Consider the following 18,533-nt stretch of genomic DNA (forward strand, 5'->3'; position numbering starts at 1 on the left):
CTCTCAACTCACCTGTGCCTACCATTGACTGAGGAGGAATCCCAAAACTGTGTGAGACTCCTCTGTCGGTGAAACTTTCTCTCTTTCACCGTTGCATGCAACATGTAAACATATAGAAAACTGGGTCGGGTGCAGTGACTTACGCCTGTAATCCCAGCACTTTGGGAGGCTGAGGTGGGCAGATCACTTAAGGTCAGGAGTTCAAGACCAGCCTGGCCAACATGGTGAAACCCCGTCTCTACTAAAAATACAAAAAATTAGCTGGGTGTGGTGGCGCATGCTTGTAATCCCAGCTACCCGAAAGGCTGAGGCAGGAGAATCGCTTGACCCGGGAGGCAGAGGTTGCCCAAGATCCTGCCACTGCACTCCAGCCTGGGCAACAAGGGCGAAATGCCGTCTCAAAAAAAAGAAAGAAAGAAAGAAAGAAAACTGGGCAGGTTCCCTGGGGATTGGAGCCCCAGGCCTGGAAGGAACTTTAGAGATTCCTTTCATTACATAAATAAAGGAGTTGATACGCTGAAAACTCCATCTTACAAAAAACAAGAGAGGCCGAACACTGGCTATGTGATGATGATAAAATAGCTGGCTAAAGGGGAGAGATTCAGTGACAAGAAACTGGATTTCTTTGGTTTACATAACGCCAAATAGCTGGTTTGGCTGGGTTCTGTTTTGTTTTTAAACACAGAATCAAATTTCCTTCATAATCAGACACACTAATAGAATCAAGAGAAAAATGAACATTCCATTTTAGAGAGCTTTGTGGTAGAGAGTTTCTTCCAAAGACTCCATACTCTAGGCATCTGGCTTAATGTTAAAAAGGGGCAGGGGGATGGTCTTTTGAGTTCTGTGAAAGGAAGAACGTAAAAACCAACATGAACTTCTGGCTTCGATTTTCTGGGAGAACTGTGCTGGCTAATAACCCAAACCCCCAAATGAGGACAAGGGCACATCCATTTTTCCCCATCTAATTTCCAGGGCCTGGAATTCGTGCGGTGGCTCTCGGGAGCTTCTCCCAGGCTGGCAGAAGGGAGCTCCAGCTACTGCCTGCCCCCGCCCCTGTGTACCCACATCAGTGACAGCATGGCTCTCTCAAGAGGCCCTGGCCACTGTCCACACTGATCTTTTCCGAAGCCTTTGCACAAGCTGTAACCCTCCCTCTCTATGACACCCAACAAACGCCAAAGCATTCTTTAAGACACAGCTTGAAAGCCACTCCTGAGAGATCCTCCCAGCTCCCCTAGAGACAACTTGCTGCTCTTCCCTTAGTCCTTCTGTTGCACGGATTGGACTTTCATTATAGTGGTTGTTTAGATGTGTGTGTCCCCAAAAAATAGTGTGGATGCCTTGAATATTGAACATTGTCACACATCTCTGATCCCTCTCCTGCTCTCGCCTCTCATCCCCAGCATGAGCTTGTGGAAAATGTATTCATTAAAATCAGGACCTGAGTCTCCCTCCTCCACTTAGGTTCTGATGCTGGCTCTACCACTAATGGGTTAGGTTACGTGCAGACAGAAGAAGAAGCCATTTATTCTCTCTGAACATCAGTCTCTTCAGCTACCCAAATAAAAACACCTAACTCCAAGAGTTCCTATGAGGATGTGGTAGTCAGAGAGATGCGCCACTTCCAGGATCCCCACTTGCCGGGCTGGGGAGATGCAGTCAGCAGACAGCTCCCCACCCCGCTGCCTTGCCCAAGACCCTTCCAGGGCCCCCCACCATTTTGGCCAGAGGTGGGACACACATGCCAGAGTTTCCAGTGGGGTTAGCCAAGACTTTGTTGGGTCTGCTTGGCCATTCAACTTCTCCTTCACACTAATCCTGAATTCTCCTTCCTTTCCTGGATGTTGTTCCCTGGCATCTTGCACCGTAGACTCTGTCTGAGCATCTGCTTCTAGAGCTCCTAACCTGTGGCAGAGGATTAAATGAACTACTGTATTCAAAAGCACCTGGCATATGGTGGTTGTCAGGGTTGGGGGTGGGGCAATGGGGAGTTACTGTTTAATGGGTACTGAGTTTCATTTTTGCAAGATGAAAAAAGTTCTGGAGAAGAGGAGGGCTATGGTGGCACAACGATACGAATGTACTTAATGCCACAGTGCTTAAAATTGTAAATCTTGTTTCTTATATTTTACCATAATTTTTTAAAATAATTTTTTTAAAAGAATGAATGTAAAATAAAGAGGAAAAACTAATAAATAAATACAGTATTTTTAAAGCACCTAGCATCATGCTTGGCACGTAGTAGGCATTCAGTAAAGATCAAGTGACTTCCACCCAGGGGCCAAACCTGCGCACAGTAGAGTTTGGGAATCCCACTGCGCAGAGCTGGTTGGAATATGCATTTCTACGCAGCGAACCCCATTTTCTCCTTTATTTTTATTTTTATTTATTTATTTTTTTTGAGACAGGGTCTCACTCCTTCACCCATGCTGGAGTGTAGTGGTGAGATATTGGCTCACTGCAACCTCTGCCTCCTGGGTTCAAGCAATTCTCCTGCCTCAGCCTCCTAAGTAGCTGGGATTACAGGGGCACACCACAACAACCTGCTAATTTTTGTATTTTTAGTAGAGATGGGGTTTCACCATGTTGGCCAGGCTGGACTCGAGCTCCTAACCTCAGGTGATCCACCCGCCTCGGCCTCCCAAAGTGCTGGGATTACACACATGAGCCACCTGGCCTGGCCTTCATATTTACTTTCATTACTAGATGAAGTATATGCTCTCACAGGAAAACGTGTTCAAATTCTGGGACATACCAGAAAGGGCGGCACACTCCCACAGCCACGTGCATTTTGGGGAGCTGCATTGCTCTTTTGTTGTTGTCGTTGTTATTAACAGTCTCCTAGCTCCACTGCTGGCCTATGGAAGTTTCTCTCGGTGCTGGAGATGTTCTGACTGTAAACTCTTATCTGATCATTTTGTCCCGTCCCCTGATCTTGCAGACCCTTAAGGGCTGGAGGATTATGCAGTACCAACTCCTGGCTGAAGGGGGCACCATCCACATAGAAAAAATGCAATGCTAGGGGCACCTTCTGGAGTTGTGCAACTATTGGACCTGCTAGGGGACTTGCTCAAGGTCACACTGCTGGCAAAACCAAGACTACCACTAAACTCTCCAAATTCTCTCCACTAAACCACACAGCTTCCTCCTCCCTCGAGCTCCTCAGATTCGTGCTTCCACATCAGGTTCCCCAGTTCATCAGTGCTGCAGGGTGAGCAAGCTCCAAATGTGTGTTTTGAAACAATGAGAAAAATAACAAAGCCTCCTTTTCAGCAACTGCCTCCCTCAGAGACAGTGCCTGACCCCAGCAAAGATACTCGAATTCATCACAATTCAAACAACCAGTCATCAAAAACACAGCCAGGAAGCTCTGCCACCAGGCCAGTGCCACCTCGCAATACACCTTGATGTCCCCCGGCCCCTGTAGGTCCCTGAGCACCTGCCTCCCAGACTCAACATGCCCCTGCACATTTTGCAGGATTTTCTGCTGGGGGCTGGTCTGAATGGCTGGAAAATGTCTTGGGTTGTCTGAGGGAAGAAGGCCCGGGGCAGGCATGATGTGGATGCCAGCGCCAAGGACAGAGGCTGCAGCGCCATGCTGAGCTGGCTCCCTCGACACCACCTCTTGGCCGCGGGCCTCACTCCCAAGCTCCATCCCCCATGGGCACCGTTCTTTGCATCATCTCTCCTTCCATCTAGTCCTGCTAGATTCTTCCTTCTGCCTTGTAATTTTACCTTCTCTTCCTTCCTCCCCTTACAATTCCAAAAGCAAAAATAACAAATGTAGGAAAGAAAACAACAACACGGGCAAACTATGTTTTTCTAATTCTGTGTGTGTTTTGGAGGTAAATCGAATGTCTTAGGCCATGAGCTGCTTGCAGGACATTCCGCAATCCTTCCTCGACTGTGGGCTTGGCACAGGACATTTACGGTGTCCATTTTACCAGAGAGACCCCGAGAGAGACCCCGAGTGCACAGACAGATAATACTGTACTTTGGGAATCAAAGTAGAAATGTCAGTGAGGCTGCTTAATTAGTTAGTAAATTAAATTTTGCTGCCAAAGTTGCTATTTCTTTGTTTTTGGTTTTTTGGATTTTTTTGTTTTTTTTTTTTGTTTGTTTGTTTGTTTGTTTGAGATGGAGTCTTGCTCTGTCACCCAGGCTGGAGTCCAGTGGCGCAATTTCAGCTCACTGCAACCTCCACCTCCCGGGTTTAAGTGATTCTCCTGCCTCAGCCTCCACAGTACCTCGGATTACAAGCACACGCCACCATGCCTGGCTAATTTTTGTATTTTTAGTAGAGACGGGGTTTCATCATGTTGGCCAGGCTGGTCTCGAATTCCTGACCTCAAGTGATCCACCCACCTTGGCCTCCCAAAGTCAAAGCTGCTATTCCCAATATCCTGCCTTTGATCATGCTGTCTTAATGCAAAGCCAACATTCAGCTTTTATGTAAGTCATAAGGAAGATGATGATCTGCAAATTGGTGATTGAAACTCATTTGAGAGCCTAGAGTGATGCTTAGAAATGAGAAAGTTTAACTTCACATCAAGTTTACATGTACATACAAACTCATAAAGTGTACCTTTTATAACAGTATAAACTCATAAAATGTAATTTCTATCCTATTCTTAACCTTATTCCTTTTGGGGGAGATATTACCAGAAAGGTAACAACAAATGATTAGTATAAAAACAGATATTTTCAAATTATGAGAAACATTCCATTTTAGGTTATAAGAATGTGACCCAAGATGATAATTTTCATAATTTTGCCTCATAAAAGCGTTTTTAAAATATGATCAGTCTTTGTGTCATATAAGGAATTTTAAATTGTCAAATATATGAGAATACTTAAGGTAAATGTTTTCAAAATAAATAGCCAATGAATGGGCTATGAATTTGCATGCACACTGCCTATGAAAATCAGCATATTTTAAACTGGTTTGTTCAGAGGGCGCCACTGGCCTTTTTTCTCTTCCTTCTCAAAGGGCATATGTGTTAGATTAGTGCTCAGAAAAGAGAACATGTTTTCATAGCCTCCAGTGTAGCGTTTATAAAAATTGTGATGATTTTAGGACTGCACCTTCATTTTTTGAATTTTCAAAACTTGTCCCTTTTTACTTTTATTTTCTTTCAACAAAACGAAGACCTAAGAACCCCTTTAAGAAATGTTATCCATTCCCACAGAGTCCCAGTTTGTTGACCTTCAGGCCACAGAGTAAAACCTTCCTTTTAAGTGAAGCATTCCCCATTGGGAAGCACTCCAGCTTTTTCTTTTTATGAGGAACTTTAACTGCTGGACTTAATTTAATTATTGTATTTTGTACATACTCCCAGAAGCCCCAGGGCATGAGCTTTACTTTTTTCAAAACTTTCAAATAAATATCTTTTAGGATCGCACATTTCTGATGGCAGTGTTCCGTCTTTGACTTGTATTTCTAATCCAAATACTGAACTTGGATCTTTCTATTTCCTGTGACCTATCAATGGACGGGTTTCAACCATAGCATCACTTTGCCACAGACCGTCTTCATGAGCAGACATAGGCATGCAGTCATTTGAGTTCTTAGTGCAGGAGCCTCGATTTCATAACAAGAAAATAAAAACCATCTCCAAAGTTGAACTACATTTTAAAACCTGGCTAGTTCTGGAGACATGGTCTTCAATAAGGAGGGTTGCTAGGCAGACATTGCCATGAAATCAGGAGCCTGCTGGCCCCATGGCCGCAGTCTGCCACCATCTGTCTTTAAAGTTCCTTGAAGGTGCTCCCCCAGCACTGGCTACTCCTCCCCCATCCCAGCAGAGGCTCATTGCAAACACACTGGCACACACACACGCACGCACACTGACACACACATACACTCACACACTCGCACACGCACACACACATGCACACAGGGAATTGTCATCCTTAGCAAATAGCAAAAAGTCAGTATCTCTATTTCTTATCTCTCTCTATCCGTAAACATTTCTTTTTGATCCTTTCGATTTCCATGATTTCCACCTGGAAATTAAAAACTTTGACATCTTGACTCTTAAAGGTGAAAAATAAATTTGTTTTGGATAACTGGCTTAAAACTCACTTAGGAATATAAAAATGTGAAGCAAACACAACTTTTCTAAATTCGTAAGATCTGCCCAAAATACTCCGTGAGGTTCGCGTCCCGTATGAAGCAAGTTTAATTTGTGGACTTCCATGAAATCTGAATTTAGGAAGAAGATGTTTTTAAGTAGCATTATCTGCAAAATGAATCTGATTTCCTTACTTACTTTTGTTTAAAAATTTAAATTACAGTCTGAGCAGCAAAGCAAGACCCCATCTCTACAAAATAAAATTAAATTTAAGAAAATTAGGCTGGCATGGTGGCACACATCTGTGGTCCCAGCTACTCAGGAGGCTGATGCGGGAGGAGCACTTGAGCCCAAGAGTTCAAGGCTGCAGTGAGCTGTGATCGTGCCACTGCACTCCAGCCTGGATGACAGAGTGAGACCCCTCTCTTAAAAAAAAAAACAAAAACAAAAAAACCCCACACCTTTTTAATTATAAAAAGCACAGCATTTTGTTGCCAAAGAAGGACTTAGAGGTCACCTAAGCCAATGGACTGGATCTTGGCTGATATTAGAATTATTTCTTGGGCTTTTAGTAAATACTAATATCTGGGCCCCACCCCAAACTAATTCAATCAGACTCTAGTCTAACCCCTCATTTTGCAGATTAAAAAGAGAAACAGCCAGACAGAACTCCCAGACCTCGAAAGGCGAAATGTGGCCCCTTCCATTTGCAGTCAAAGGGACAACATTGTAACATGATTTGGGAATTCCTGGCTATGCTAAACTTTAAAAAGCAAAGTTCAAACCAGTTTCCATAATTATGTTTGGGTCTCATGAATTGATTTGATAAGGAAGAGTTGATTGATTCCTCACACATGACCTAATTTCTAATTTTATACACATTCACATCCCTGAATGATTGCAGAAGAGGCTGAAATAGCCATCATGTTGAAATGTCTCATGCTATAATTTTCGAAATCAGCCACACGTGTATGGATGGCTGTCCTATAAATGTCACCTAAAAGAAATGTGTGGCCTCTAAAATGGCAGCGTCGTGCTTCAAACTAATATTCCATAATTTAATTTTTCTCATATATACTTAAAGCATATAAGTAAAAAGCAGTATTTTTCCCAGTGTCAGCTCAAAACTGTACAGTTTTTATGAAAATGAAGGCAAAGACGTCAAGTAACAGCTCAGCCAAGTGAGTCCCACAGCCCCGCAAGGCAGAGGTGAGCGTAGCTGCCCTCCCTGGGGGTCTCAAGAGAGCAAAAGAGGCCCTGAAAGGGCAGCCTCCCTCTTGTAAGAAGCTCAACTGGGAGCTCAGCGGGCTTTGAGCCATCTTTGCAGAGACAGCTTTTCCCACCCTGCCTCCCCCAGAACAGTACACCTCCCCCACCTTTTCTGCTCCCCCACATCTGCCTCCTTTGCCTCTTTCCCCACAGGGCTGGCCTGCTCACAGGTCTCAGAGGGAAAGGGGGTGCTTCACACTGGAGGGTCTGGTCCTAGGCCATTCTCTCCAGCCGAGGACCTCCTGGGAGAGATCCAGAAAGCTTTGATCACAACTATCTGCCTTGGGCTAAAAGACCTCTGGTTGGTCACTCCTCTAGGATCTTAATAAGGCCAGGACCTAGGATCACAGATGCATACCTGTTTTTCTTTTTTTTTAATAAAGGGAATGCTGAGCTGCAATGACCATTACTGTAGAGTTACAACAAGAGGGTAAAGTTCATACATGGCGACCTGTGTCAAATCCGTCCATTGATCTGCCCTCCAGCACACATTTACTGAGCTTCTGTTACGTGCCTGTGGTGAGTGACATGACATCACTGTGTTAGTGACTGGCCAAAAGGGTGTCTTGAAGCCGCCCTAGGGCCCTTCTGGCCCTGTTCTAGGAAGTGAAAGCTGGGGGCAGTGGAGCCCTTTCTTATTCTGTCCACCCTCCCCCACCTCCATTCTGTTCCAATTATTCTTCATTATCCTTCAAAGCAAACTTGCAAGTCAGCCAAGAACCGAGCTCCAGGTGTGAGACCAAAAAAAGAAAGAAAAGGGGGAAGAAATCTAAAAGTACCTTAGATGGAAATTTTCATGCAGCCATAAAAAAGTGTTTTTTGGTTGTTGTTTTTGCTTTTTTTTTTTTAGATCAAACATGTTTTGTTGTTGTTGTGGTGGTGGTTGTGGTTGTTTTTGAGACAGGGTCTCTGTCTGTCGCCCAGACTGGAGTACAGCTGCACGATCTCGGCTCACTGCAGCCTCGACCTCCCCTGCTCAAGCCATCCTCCCACCTCAGCCAGGACCCCACCCAAGTAGCAGGAACTACAGGCCTGTGCCACCACTCCCAGATGATTTTTGTATTTTTTGTAGAAACGGGGTCTCACCATGTTGCCCAGTCTGTTCTTGAACTCCTGGGCTCAAGTGATCCACCTGCCTCAGCCTCCCAAAGTGCTAGGATTACAGGCATGAGCCATGACACTCTGCCAGATTCAACATGTTTAATGGCAAAAGGGAAAATGCTGAGAAGTTTGCCTCCATTTGGTTATTTCACTTTGTTCCTTTTATACTTTCCTGTACATTCCAAATGGACTACAATGAGCACCTGTCACTGTGATCATCAAGAAATAAAATAAACAATAAAATAAGTAAATGTCACTACAGGGGATTTTGGAGTTTCCCTATTTTCTAAAATGGACATTTAAAAGTTTTCAAATCAGAAAAATGTCTGTTAAGATTTCATTTTATTGTTGTTTTACATAAGAATAATCAGATATGAGGAAAATAAGTGTGAGTGAAAATCAGAATTTGAATGGGAACTGAAGGACCCCCAGAGCTTTTTTGAGTTTTCTTTTTTTTTTCTTTTTTGAGACAAAGTCTTGCTCGGTCACCCAGTGGCGCGATCTCGGCTCAATACCACCTCCGCCTCCCGGGTTCAAGCAATTCTCCTGTCTCAGCCTCCTGAGTAGCTGGGATTACAGGTGCCTGCCACCACACCCAGCTAATTTTTGTATTTTTAGTAGAAATGGGGTTTCTCCATGTTGGCCAGGCTGGTCTCGAGCTCCTGACCTCAGGTGATCCACCCTCCTCAGCCTCCCAAAGTGCTGGGCTTACAGGCGTGAGCCACCGTGCCCGGCCTTGAGTTCTTATTATTACAAGATGACTCAGATTTGGGCTGGAGAGCATTTTAAAACATTAAAACATCTTCTGCCTAACAAATGCATTAATCCTTTCTTGAGGATTAAGAAAGAATTAATCCCTCCAAGGATGGGCAGCCCCACAGCGGGTGGCTTGGAAAATACTTGGCTTCGTGCATCTGCAGACTTACTGTTTTCTTTGACCCTTTGCGTCTACATCTGGGAATTTATCCTAAAGAAATTCTGTAATCCAGAATATCAAAAAAGCCTCATTGGCAAATACTACTTTATTCACAGTTGCATCATGTAAATTACAGAGGTATGGCTAAGTCAATCGGGAGACATTTACTTGATGGAATATTAGACAGCCACTAAAACTGGTGCTTCTGAAGGTGATAAGAAAGTGCTTTTCCTATAAAGTCAAGTTCTGATGCATACCAAGCTGCAAATGCGAGTCTGGAGCTGAACTGCCTGGCTCTCCTGCTTCTTAGGCTTCTTAGCTAAGTAACCTTGAGCAAGATCCTAACATCCCTGTGCCTCAGTCTTATTATCTGTGAAATGGGGGTAATAATACTACCTACCTCCTAAGGTTTCTTTTGAGCCTGAAATGAGTTAATACATACAAAGCACAGTGGCCTGGCACACTGTAGGCACTGGACAAGTGTTGGTTCCTATAATTATTATCTGTGATTATAACCATGTTAAAAAGAAATCACAACACTGGAAAAAAAAAACAATAAAATGTTAGCAATTGTAGTGTTTGGGTGATAAGACTACTGGTGATTTTTATTTTTTCTTCTTTTTACATTTTTGTATTTCCAAATTTTTCACTAACTATACATCAATTTTTTTTAATTGGGCATGATGGGTCACACCTGTAATCCCAGAGACTCAGGAGGCTGAACCAGGAGGATTGCCTGAGGCCAAGAGTTCAAAACCAGCCTGGCAACGTAGCATGACCCCTCTATCTCTAAAAAATAAATAAATAAAGCTGGGCATGGTAGTGCTTGCTTGTAGTCCCAGCTACTCAGGAGACTGAGGTGGGAGGATCAGTTTGAGCTCAGGAGTTTGAGGCCAGCCTGGCCAGCATAGCAAGACTCCATCTCAAAAACAATTAAAAAGACCCTGAATAGAGAGCCGCAGCACGTGGTTTCATATGATTTGAAACATCCAGGTGCCAAGACTTTGGGCATGGGCTTGCGAGGGACTCCTCCTGACTGCACCCCATGGGCACCTCTCATCCCGGGGAGGACGGTCAGGCTGTGCTGAGTGGTGAACAGCACTCGGATTGGCAAAAAAGTAACCTGAGCTCCAGTCACCTGTTCCCTGCAGGTTCTTGGAAAGAGCTTTTTCCTTCTCTACAAGGAGGAATCTGATGCAACTGACATCCTCAATAGCTACAGAGAACTTGCAAAGGAGTAGAGAGAATGTTTGAGGTCCAGCCTTGGTGTAGAGAAGCGGCAGAAACAGAAATCCCAAAAGGTGTCATGCTTGGCTCCAGCTCTGTGCTCTCAGAACTCCCTTCCCTCTGGGCAGAGGCCCATCTGCTCTGTTTACACACCTGGACCTGGTGTGAAGGGAGGTTTGGAGGAGGGTAGCTCCCTGACCATTTGTGGAATCGTTCCTGCTTCCAAGCAGCATGCTACAGGCCAGCCTTCAAAGAAAGACCAGAAGCCAAGTGTACTCTGTCATCACTTAATAATGCTTGAAGCTTTTCATATAACAAAAGGAATGAAGCAGCCCCGCCTCGCAGTGTGGAAGCCTGATCATTCTTCCATCAGCTCTGCACCAAAAAGCTTTTCCTGAGCTTTGAATATTAGATCTGACCAATATGGGTAACCAATGCCCTTAGGTAAGGTAAAATAGGAATAAAATAGCTGTTTGCAATGTTATTTCACCACACAGTGTGGTAGGGAGGGAACTGATATGTTGCAATGCAAAGTAATCTAGTAGTACTGTTTGTAGAACAGACAAGTGTGTCCAATTTAAAGAATATCAACATCATTTTTCTATATCATACTCTTGTGAGGTTGGATTTAACCACAGAGGCAGAAAGTTGGTCTACTTTGCTCGTTCCTGGCAACTAGCATGGTGCCTGCCCCTAATACATTTTCACTGAATGAATGAATCAGTGAGTTAATGAATAAATAAACAAATGGGAGGTGTTCTCCTTTATATTGTGTTAGAGGCTGAGGATATAGAAATATGTAACTCAGAGTCCCATTCCACAAGCCCATGCTAGTGAGCCAACACAAACAAAAAACAACTCAAATTCAATGTGATTAATTCCTAAAATCATAGCACTAACATTCAGTAGTCATGTCCAGCTCTTCCTTTATGTCAGGTACCTAGACATAGCGGAACAGAAAACCCTTCAAAAGTTCAGTCTAGTCTGGAAAACAAACATGAAGCAAAGAAGGCACAACACCATATGGAAAAGCAAGACAGAAATATGTACAGGGCAGAGAGGCTGCACTGTGTCATTTAATCACGAAGACTCTGTTATTAGACTGCTCGAATACACAAAGCTGTGTTACCTTGGACATGTTACTTCACCTCTCTGGGCTTCAGTTGTCTCATTCTGTAAAATGGTGATATTACTGGAACTCATCTCATAGGGTTGTTAGTGAGTGAATGTTTGTAAAACAGGATAGTGCCCAGCACATACTAGTAACAAATGTAAAATACATGAAACAAATAAATATTTCCTGTGTCCTCTGAACTTTAAACTCTCATCAAGAACTCTCTGTTTGGCTTTGCCTTTGTAAATGACTGATTTTTCTCCTGTGATAGGACTCATGACCCAACACCACTCCAGTGCTGTGGACTCAGGTTAATAAGAGAAGGAACAGTTAGATTGCTATCTGTTTGTGGAAAATAATGAGTATTTGTCAGAAGAAGAAAACTGTCAATGCTGAAAAATACCTATACATGGATTGTAAATACATTCTAAACAACTGCTACTCCCCTCTGGGTCAAGGGCAGACATTGCTAATTACCCTCAGTATCCTTTCCAACTGCATCTAGATTCAGGCTCAGTATCCTTTCCAACTGCATCTAGATTCAGGCTCAGAATCCTTTCCAACTATGTCTAGATTCAGGCTCAGAATCCTTTCCAACTATGTCTAGATTCAGGCTCAGAATCCTTTCCAACTATGTCTAGATTCAGGCTCAGTATCCTCTCTAACTGTGTCTAGATTCAGACTCAGAATCCTTTTACAAACAGGGTCCCAAGTAGTGACTACTAATCAGGACTTGCTGGTGTCTCTGAACTAAACCTTATCTGTATGTTCAGCCTCAGGGTTGTTTTCTTCATCGGACACACTGGGCTGCCTTCCAAGCTCCCTGCTGCCAGGAGCCACGTTGCAACTGCCTATCTCCCATGACTGATGCCCAGCTTCCCAAATGCCCTTCTGGGCCCCACTCCCGAGAGAACAGCAATAGAGTAGGTTCTACCTTTAGGGAGAAGAGCAATAGAGTAGGTTCTACCTGGTCTTTCCTTACAGATTCTTCAGTTTGCAGAAGAAAGAGCATAGGCTTTGAGTACAGTCCTGCAGCCACTATCTAACTCTGTGACCTTAGCCAAGCAAGCTGCTTAACCTTTCTGAGCCTCAGATTCCTCCTGGGTAAATAAGACCTCCCTGTGGGGATTGCTGCAAGGATTAAGTGCAATAATGTTTGTACACGGACCAGCTGGGATGGGCTCTCCAGAAATGGTAGAGCCATGATCAATAATCCAGCCTGGCTTCCCACCAGTCAGGAACAAGGCCCTCAAGACTTCCTCCCTGGGGTCCCGGCATAAACAGGAGCCATGGCCAAGAGAGGGCTGGATGCTCCTGGTGAAGCCACTCTTGCCCACAACTCACACACAGCATTGGCTGTAGATAAAGCCAGATCATAGGGGCTCAGACAGTTGGGAAGCAGTGAAAGCTGGTGGGGCTGGGAAGGGAGGGAACCTTGGGCGGGAGGGAGGGAACCTTGGGCGGGAGGGAGGGAACCTGGGGTGGGGAGGGAGGGAACCTTAGGAAATGATGGGAGTGGGCATTGGAGTGGGCATTTTCCTCCCATAAGTGGAGAGGGTGCCCTCTGGCATGGACTAGGGGCAAGATGAGGTGGACAGTGTCTCTCCACTGGCCTTCTCCAGCTCTTCTAATGCAGGGCCCATTTACCTGAGATGCTTTATTCTGGAGCCACTCTCATTACCTCCTCCCAGCTGGCCCTCTGTGTGGACAACTCAGTAATAAGTTCCTGTCCCCCCTCCAACTGGAAAGTTGTTCCTGAGAAGCTTTGACTTGGCCTCCTCCCTCGGACTCTGCCTCTGACTACTAATTCAGCCTCCTCCCTCTGACTCTGTCTCCAACCTCTAATTCAATCTCCTCCCTCTGACTCTGTCTCCGACCTCTAATCAGCCTCCTCCCTCTGATTCTGCCTCCAACCTCTAATTCAGTCTCCTCCCTCTGACTCTGCCTTTGACCTCTGACTCTCTCTCCAACCTCTAATTTAGTCTCCTCCCTCTGACTCTACCTGTGACTTCTGACTCTGTCTCTGACCTCTAATTCAGCCTCCTCCCTCTGACTCTGTCTCTGACCTTCAATTCAGCCTCCTCCCTCTGGCTCTGTCTCCTCTCTCTGACTCCACCTCCTCCTTCCAACTTGTTTCTCCCCTCTGACTCTTTCTCCTCCCTGTTTCTCCCTCTGATTCAGCCTCCTCCCTCTGATTCTGCCTCTTCCCTAGAACTTGCCTCCTCCCTCTGACTCTGCCTCCCTCTGACCTCTCACTCTGTCTTGGCCTGCTGTCACCAGGTGTATGCCTACTCTCCCCCACCACCACATCCTCTTGCTCCCTGTTCCAGAGGAATTGGCCCTGCACTCTTCAAACCCAGGCAATGCTCAAGCACAGCGCAGGCATCTCTCGGTCATCCTGGGGACGGTCATCCCCGGGACGGTCATCCCCAGGACAGCCGCGAGAGCCTCCTCTCCTCCCCACGTGAGCTGGTGTAGGATTGACTCTTATCTGTTGGTCAAGAGTCGCTGAGGCAAACATCACACCCAGCCACTCTTCCTCGGCCCAGCCTGCCATTCAACAACTGCAGCCCAGCGCCCTACGTGTAAAAGGCGCTGTCAACATTTCCATTATAGGGTTCTCTTCCGAGAGTTTACAAGCCAACTGGGAAAACAAAATGAGCCCAGGTGGAAAGTTTGCCTTACAAGGGAGCAAATCTATGCAAAAAAGAGCACGGTGCAGCTGCGTTCTTGGAGACCAGGAGACTCTGCATTGAAATCTCAGCCAATTTAATGTCTACATTAAAAACGGATTTGTGTGAAATGCAGCCGCTTCTTTTAATTGCTCCAAATAAATATCCTGGGTAATTTTAAGAAAGGCTTCTGCGGTGGCTTCCCAGCAATGCAAGCCATCTCTTACCAGGAAGTGCTTTGGGGTATTGTCTGCTGAGAAAGGTGTTACATAAATTGAAACTCCTTTTGCTCAGAGCTGAGTCCTGAAAGTTCATGCAGTGAGAAACATTTCTCACCGTGCACAAACTGTGAATTGTATATCAAATTAAACTTTCTGATTAAAATCTGCATTGTCGGACCTCCTGCTGGTTGCCACCATTTTGCTGAAATAAGATACTATTTGGGGTAATGGCAGCCAGGGAAAGCTGTTATCATTGATTGTAAACTGGCTTCACTCCCTCCACTTGAAAATCTGGTGGGCTTCATTGTGCAAACATTGCATCTTCCATACAAATATTACAGAGCAAAGCTCCGCTACTGATCCATCAGCTGGAGTAAGCAGGTTTATAGTCTGACCCCAACAGCTCTTACGTCTCCTACACCCCAACACTGGGCTGCAGGAGGATCCTGCAAGGTGGGAGACCCAGCAGGAGAATTCAAGAAGCATATATCAAAGTCTGCTGGTTTTTAATTTAAAAAAAAAAAAAAATACAGGGTCTCACTCTGTCGCCCAGACTGGAGTACGCCACTATGCCTGGCTAATTTTTTGTATTTTTACAGAGACAGGGTCTTGCTATGTTGCTCAGGCTGCTCTGCAACTCCTGGACTCAAGCGTTCCTCCTGCCTTGGCCTCCCAAATTGCTGGGATTGCGGGCGTGAGCCACCATGCGCAGCCCAGTTTTTAATTTTAAAAATATTTGTAGCTGAGCGAGGTGGCATGCACCTGTAGTTCCAGCTACTTTGGAGGCTGAGGCAGGAAGATTGCTTGAGCCCAGGAGTTTGAGTCCAGCCTGGGTAACATAGTAAGAACCCTGTCTTTATAAAAAATTAAATAAAATAAGATAAATATTTTTTCTTCACAAGGACATTATTATTTGAGAGAGGAAAGGAGATAAAGGAAAAAATGAGGCCTAGCAGGAGTTCAAATTCCCCAGGACCCCGGGCCCAGGACACCCTCAGCAGCTCCTTAGAGGGACTCACTTGCCTTCCCCGCAAACCTTCACCCCTTCCCACCAACCTCCAAGCCCCAGCTCTGAGGCTTAGGCTTATGAAAGTCAACTGGGAACTCTGCACAGCATTACTGACAGAGGGGTCCAAGCTATTAGCTTCTTTTTACAGATACAGACTCTAAAACAAAAAAACAAAGAAGATTATTTTTGGCCCAAGAGGCTGTCCAGCAGAACACCAGAGGCTGGCCTCCCATGGCTCAGTTCCCCAGCTTTCAGCTTTCAGTTGGAGCGCGCGCTCTCCAAAAGTCAGCATCAGCCAGGCTCGTGTAAATATTTGTTATTGCCATCTAACCGTTAGAATAGATTGTCCCTGTCTCTCATTTTGTAAATCATTTTGTTGCTCACGTAATGCAAAATAGCTTTGACTTACAAAGACAGACAGGAGTGGGAGAAGGAGAAAGATTTAGTAAAATGATCAGTCCGTAGCGTTGTAGCTCATATTTTGGCAAATAAAATGAAGACAGCACAGACCAATTTCTAAAAGAACAACCCAGTCTGAATACAACGAACCTCACCAAATCCTTTTCTAGAAAACAGCACTAAAGGTTACAGGCAAAGCCCGTGCTAGAGTAGATGCCGCTTCCTCAGAGGGAGCAAGTGCTGGGGAAGGTGGCTTGTGGCCGGGTGCGTGGGCACTCAAAGCCCAGAAGTTCAAAGGCATCGCCCAGCTGGCGGGCACCTCAGCAAATGGGGGGAATCATACCCCCCCCGCCACCCCACGGAGGGTGCAGGATGTCCTTCTGCAGCGTGTTTTCCCTAAAAGTCAACGCCGGACATTCATAGTCACTAGCCTAAGCTGGTTTCACCTGTAGGGAAAATACCAAGGAGGGAATCAGCAAGTGCCTGGTGGAGGTGCTGGCCCGACCCCCTGTGTACTGCCTTGCCTGCAAAATTATTATGCCTGCTTCTGTTTCAGTTGCATGAAGATTAAATAAAATAATTTACAGATCCATGAATTAGCTATCTTTGAAAATTATTCTGCTGGCTTTCTTTCCTCACTCTAACCTTCTTTTACATCTCCTAGTCTTGCAGAGTTTCCACAACTATAATCTGAACCTATGTTTCCTACGTGGTCATACAGTTTTTTAAAACAAAATCGGTTTTCCCATTTTCTCTTCTTACTTACCATCCATATACATACCCTCTAGTCAAAAACCAATAACAAAATCAATTGCAATATTCCATTCATTCATTCATTCAATAACTATACTTTGAATTTACTGGGAGCTAAGTGCTAGACCATTATCCCCCTTTCACTCAAGAGTTCTGTCAGCCTGGGGATTACATCAGAAATCCCAGTTTTGGCCGGGCACAGTGGCTCATGCCTGTAATTTCAGCAGACTTTGCAAGGCCAAGGCGGGCAGATCGCTTGAGGTAAGGAGTTTGAGACCAGCCTGGCCAACATGGTGAAACCCCACCTCTACTAAAAAAACAAAAGTTAGCTGGGCATGGTGGGCACCTGTAATCCCAGCTACTTGGGAGGGTGAGGCAGGAGAATCGCTTGAACCTGGGAGGCGGAGGTTTCAGTGAGCCGAGATCTCGCCACTGCACTCCAGCCTGGGCAACAGAGCGAGACTCTGTCAAAAAAAAAAAAAAAAAAAAAGGAAGTAAGAAAAGAAATCCCAGCTTTACTGGCTTTGGGTTTTTTGGTTTTGTGTGTGTGTGTGTGGTTGTTCTTGTTTTAAGGCAGGGTCTCCCTCTATTGCCCAGGATGGAGTGCAGTGGCACAATCAGAGTGGCCTCCAACACCTGGGCTTAAGTGATCCTCCCTCCTCAGCCTCCCGAGTAGCTGGGACTACAGAAACATGCCAACACTCATGGCTCTTTACTGGCTTTTGAACTAGGATTTGAAAAACCCAAGATAATCTACAAAAGAAACTTGCTGCTGAAGGTGCTTCCTTTTCCCAGCTTCACTCCCGTCCTGTGCCTCCCCACAGCCTCCTTCCAGGAAACCAGGGTAACCAGGTCCCCTCCCCAGCCCCACAGGGCTCAGGCACCCAAAGGATTTCCTCCCATGGCTCCATGGTCTCCACTAACCCTGACCAAAGATGGAGCGCTCTGCCTCCCTGTGTCTCTGCCCAAATTTGCCCACCTTTTTACTCCTAGCTGCCATCAGTTTCTATGAATAGTCATCAATTTTTTGTTTCTTTTCCCTTTTTTTTTTTTTTTTTTTTGAGACAGAGTTTCTCTCTTGACCCCTAGGCTGGAGTACAATGGTGCAATCTTGGCTCCCTGCAACCTCTGCCTTCCGAGTTCAAGCGATTCTCCCGCCACAGGCTCCCAAGTAGCTGGGATTACAGGCGTGCACCACCACGCCCAGCTAATTTTTGTATTTTTAGTAGAGATGGGGTTTCACCATGTTGGCCAGGCTGGTCTCAAACTCCTGACCTCAGGTGATCTGCCTGCCTTGGCGTCCCAAAGTGCTGGGATTACAGGTGTGAGCCACCATGCCCAGCCAATGGTCTTTCTGTAAGAAAAATTATCAACAATTTCCACAGACTTGCCATAGTTTGTGGCAAGAAAATGTAATGCCTGCTCTCGTGTAGGGCATCAAAAGTCAATGACAGGATAGGCACATCAGAAGATGATACAAGATGTAATAACAGGCTGGCTGGGCTCACCACACCCTGCTCCCCCGGGTGCCTGGCAAACATGGCAAAGCCCAGACACGGGCCCAGAGGGGAGGAGCCGGGTGCCCCAGGCTAGGCCATGAGAAGTACATTTGAGGTTATTGGTGGGTTTCCCTAAGGAGAATGAAAATCCTGGTCTCCATCCTAGACACAGGTGGGTCCTCAGGCAGTAGCTGCCATTCTGAGGGTGGAGGGCTGGACTCAGTTCCCTGTGGGGGAAGAAATTCCCCCTCTCCATCATGCTCTCTGGGGCTGCCC

At 45.5% G+C, this 18,533-nt stretch overlaps 1 protein-coding gene and 1 long non-coding RNA gene across 4 annotated transcripts in view, besides 4 other annotated features; one reads left to right on the top strand and one right to left on the bottom strand.

Moving 5' to 3' along the window:
• The window catches only part of CLYBL (citramalyl-CoA lyase), a 302,755-nt gene extending 290,851 nt beyond the window's left edge, over positions 1 to 11,904 (top strand). Inside the window, exons 9-10 of one of the 3 annotated variants that reach the window (NR_104592.2) lie at positions 7,730 to 7,865; positions 10,515 to 11,904. The gene's annotated coding sequence lies outside the window, so the exon portion shown is untranslated. Of the gene's footprint in view, positions 1 to 7,729 lie in introns of all 3 variants that reach the window. The other 2 variants (NM_001393361.1, NM_001393360.1) reach the window with 2 other exon arrangements.
• The window catches only part of CLYBL-AS3 (CLYBL antisense RNA 3), a 216,296-nt gene that overhangs the window by 156,671 nt on the left and 41,092 nt on the right, over positions 1 to 18,533 (bottom strand). The gene's annotated exons all lie outside the window — the stretch shown is intronic.
• Positions 3,022 to 3,598: an enhancer, noted in NCBI's record as "H3K4me1 hESC enhancer chr13:100552816-100553392 (GRCh37/hg19 assembly coordinates)". NCBI's record gives its function as "activates a minimal SCP1, AML or CMV promoter by ChIP-STARR-seq in naive H9 embryonic stem cells {active_cell/tissue: H9 hESC(naive)}" and the evidence as "EXISTENCE:reporter gene assay evidence [ECO:0000049][PMID:30033119]".
• Positions 6,908 to 7,408: an enhancer, noted in NCBI's record as "H3K4me1 hESC enhancer chr13:100556702-100557202 (GRCh37/hg19 assembly coordinates)". NCBI's record gives its function as "activates a minimal SCP1, AML or CMV promoter by ChIP-STARR-seq in primed H9 embryonic stem cells {active_cell/tissue: H9 hESC(primed)}" and the evidence as "EXISTENCE:reporter gene assay evidence [ECO:0000049][PMID:30033119]".
• Positions 15,829 to 16,330: an enhancer, noted in NCBI's record as "H3K4me1 hESC enhancer chr13:100565623-100566124 (GRCh37/hg19 assembly coordinates)". NCBI's record gives its function as "activates a minimal SCP1, AML or CMV promoter by ChIP-STARR-seq in naive H9 embryonic stem cells {active_cell/tissue: H9 hESC(naive)}" and the evidence as "EXISTENCE:reporter gene assay evidence [ECO:0000049][PMID:30033119]".
• Positions 16,331 to 16,830: an enhancer, noted in NCBI's record as "H3K4me1 hESC enhancer chr13:100566125-100566624 (GRCh37/hg19 assembly coordinates)". NCBI's record gives its function as "activates a minimal SCP1, AML or CMV promoter by ChIP-STARR-seq in naive H9 embryonic stem cells {active_cell/tissue: H9 hESC(naive)}" and the evidence as "EXISTENCE:reporter gene assay evidence [ECO:0000049][PMID:30033119]".

The sequence above is a fragment of the Homo sapiens genome, chromosome 13 (genome assembly GCF_000001405.40).
Source record: "Homo sapiens chromosome 13, GRCh38.p14 Primary Assembly".
Taxonomy (NCBI): domain Eukaryota; kingdom Metazoa; phylum Chordata; class Mammalia; order Primates; family Hominidae; genus Homo; species Homo sapiens.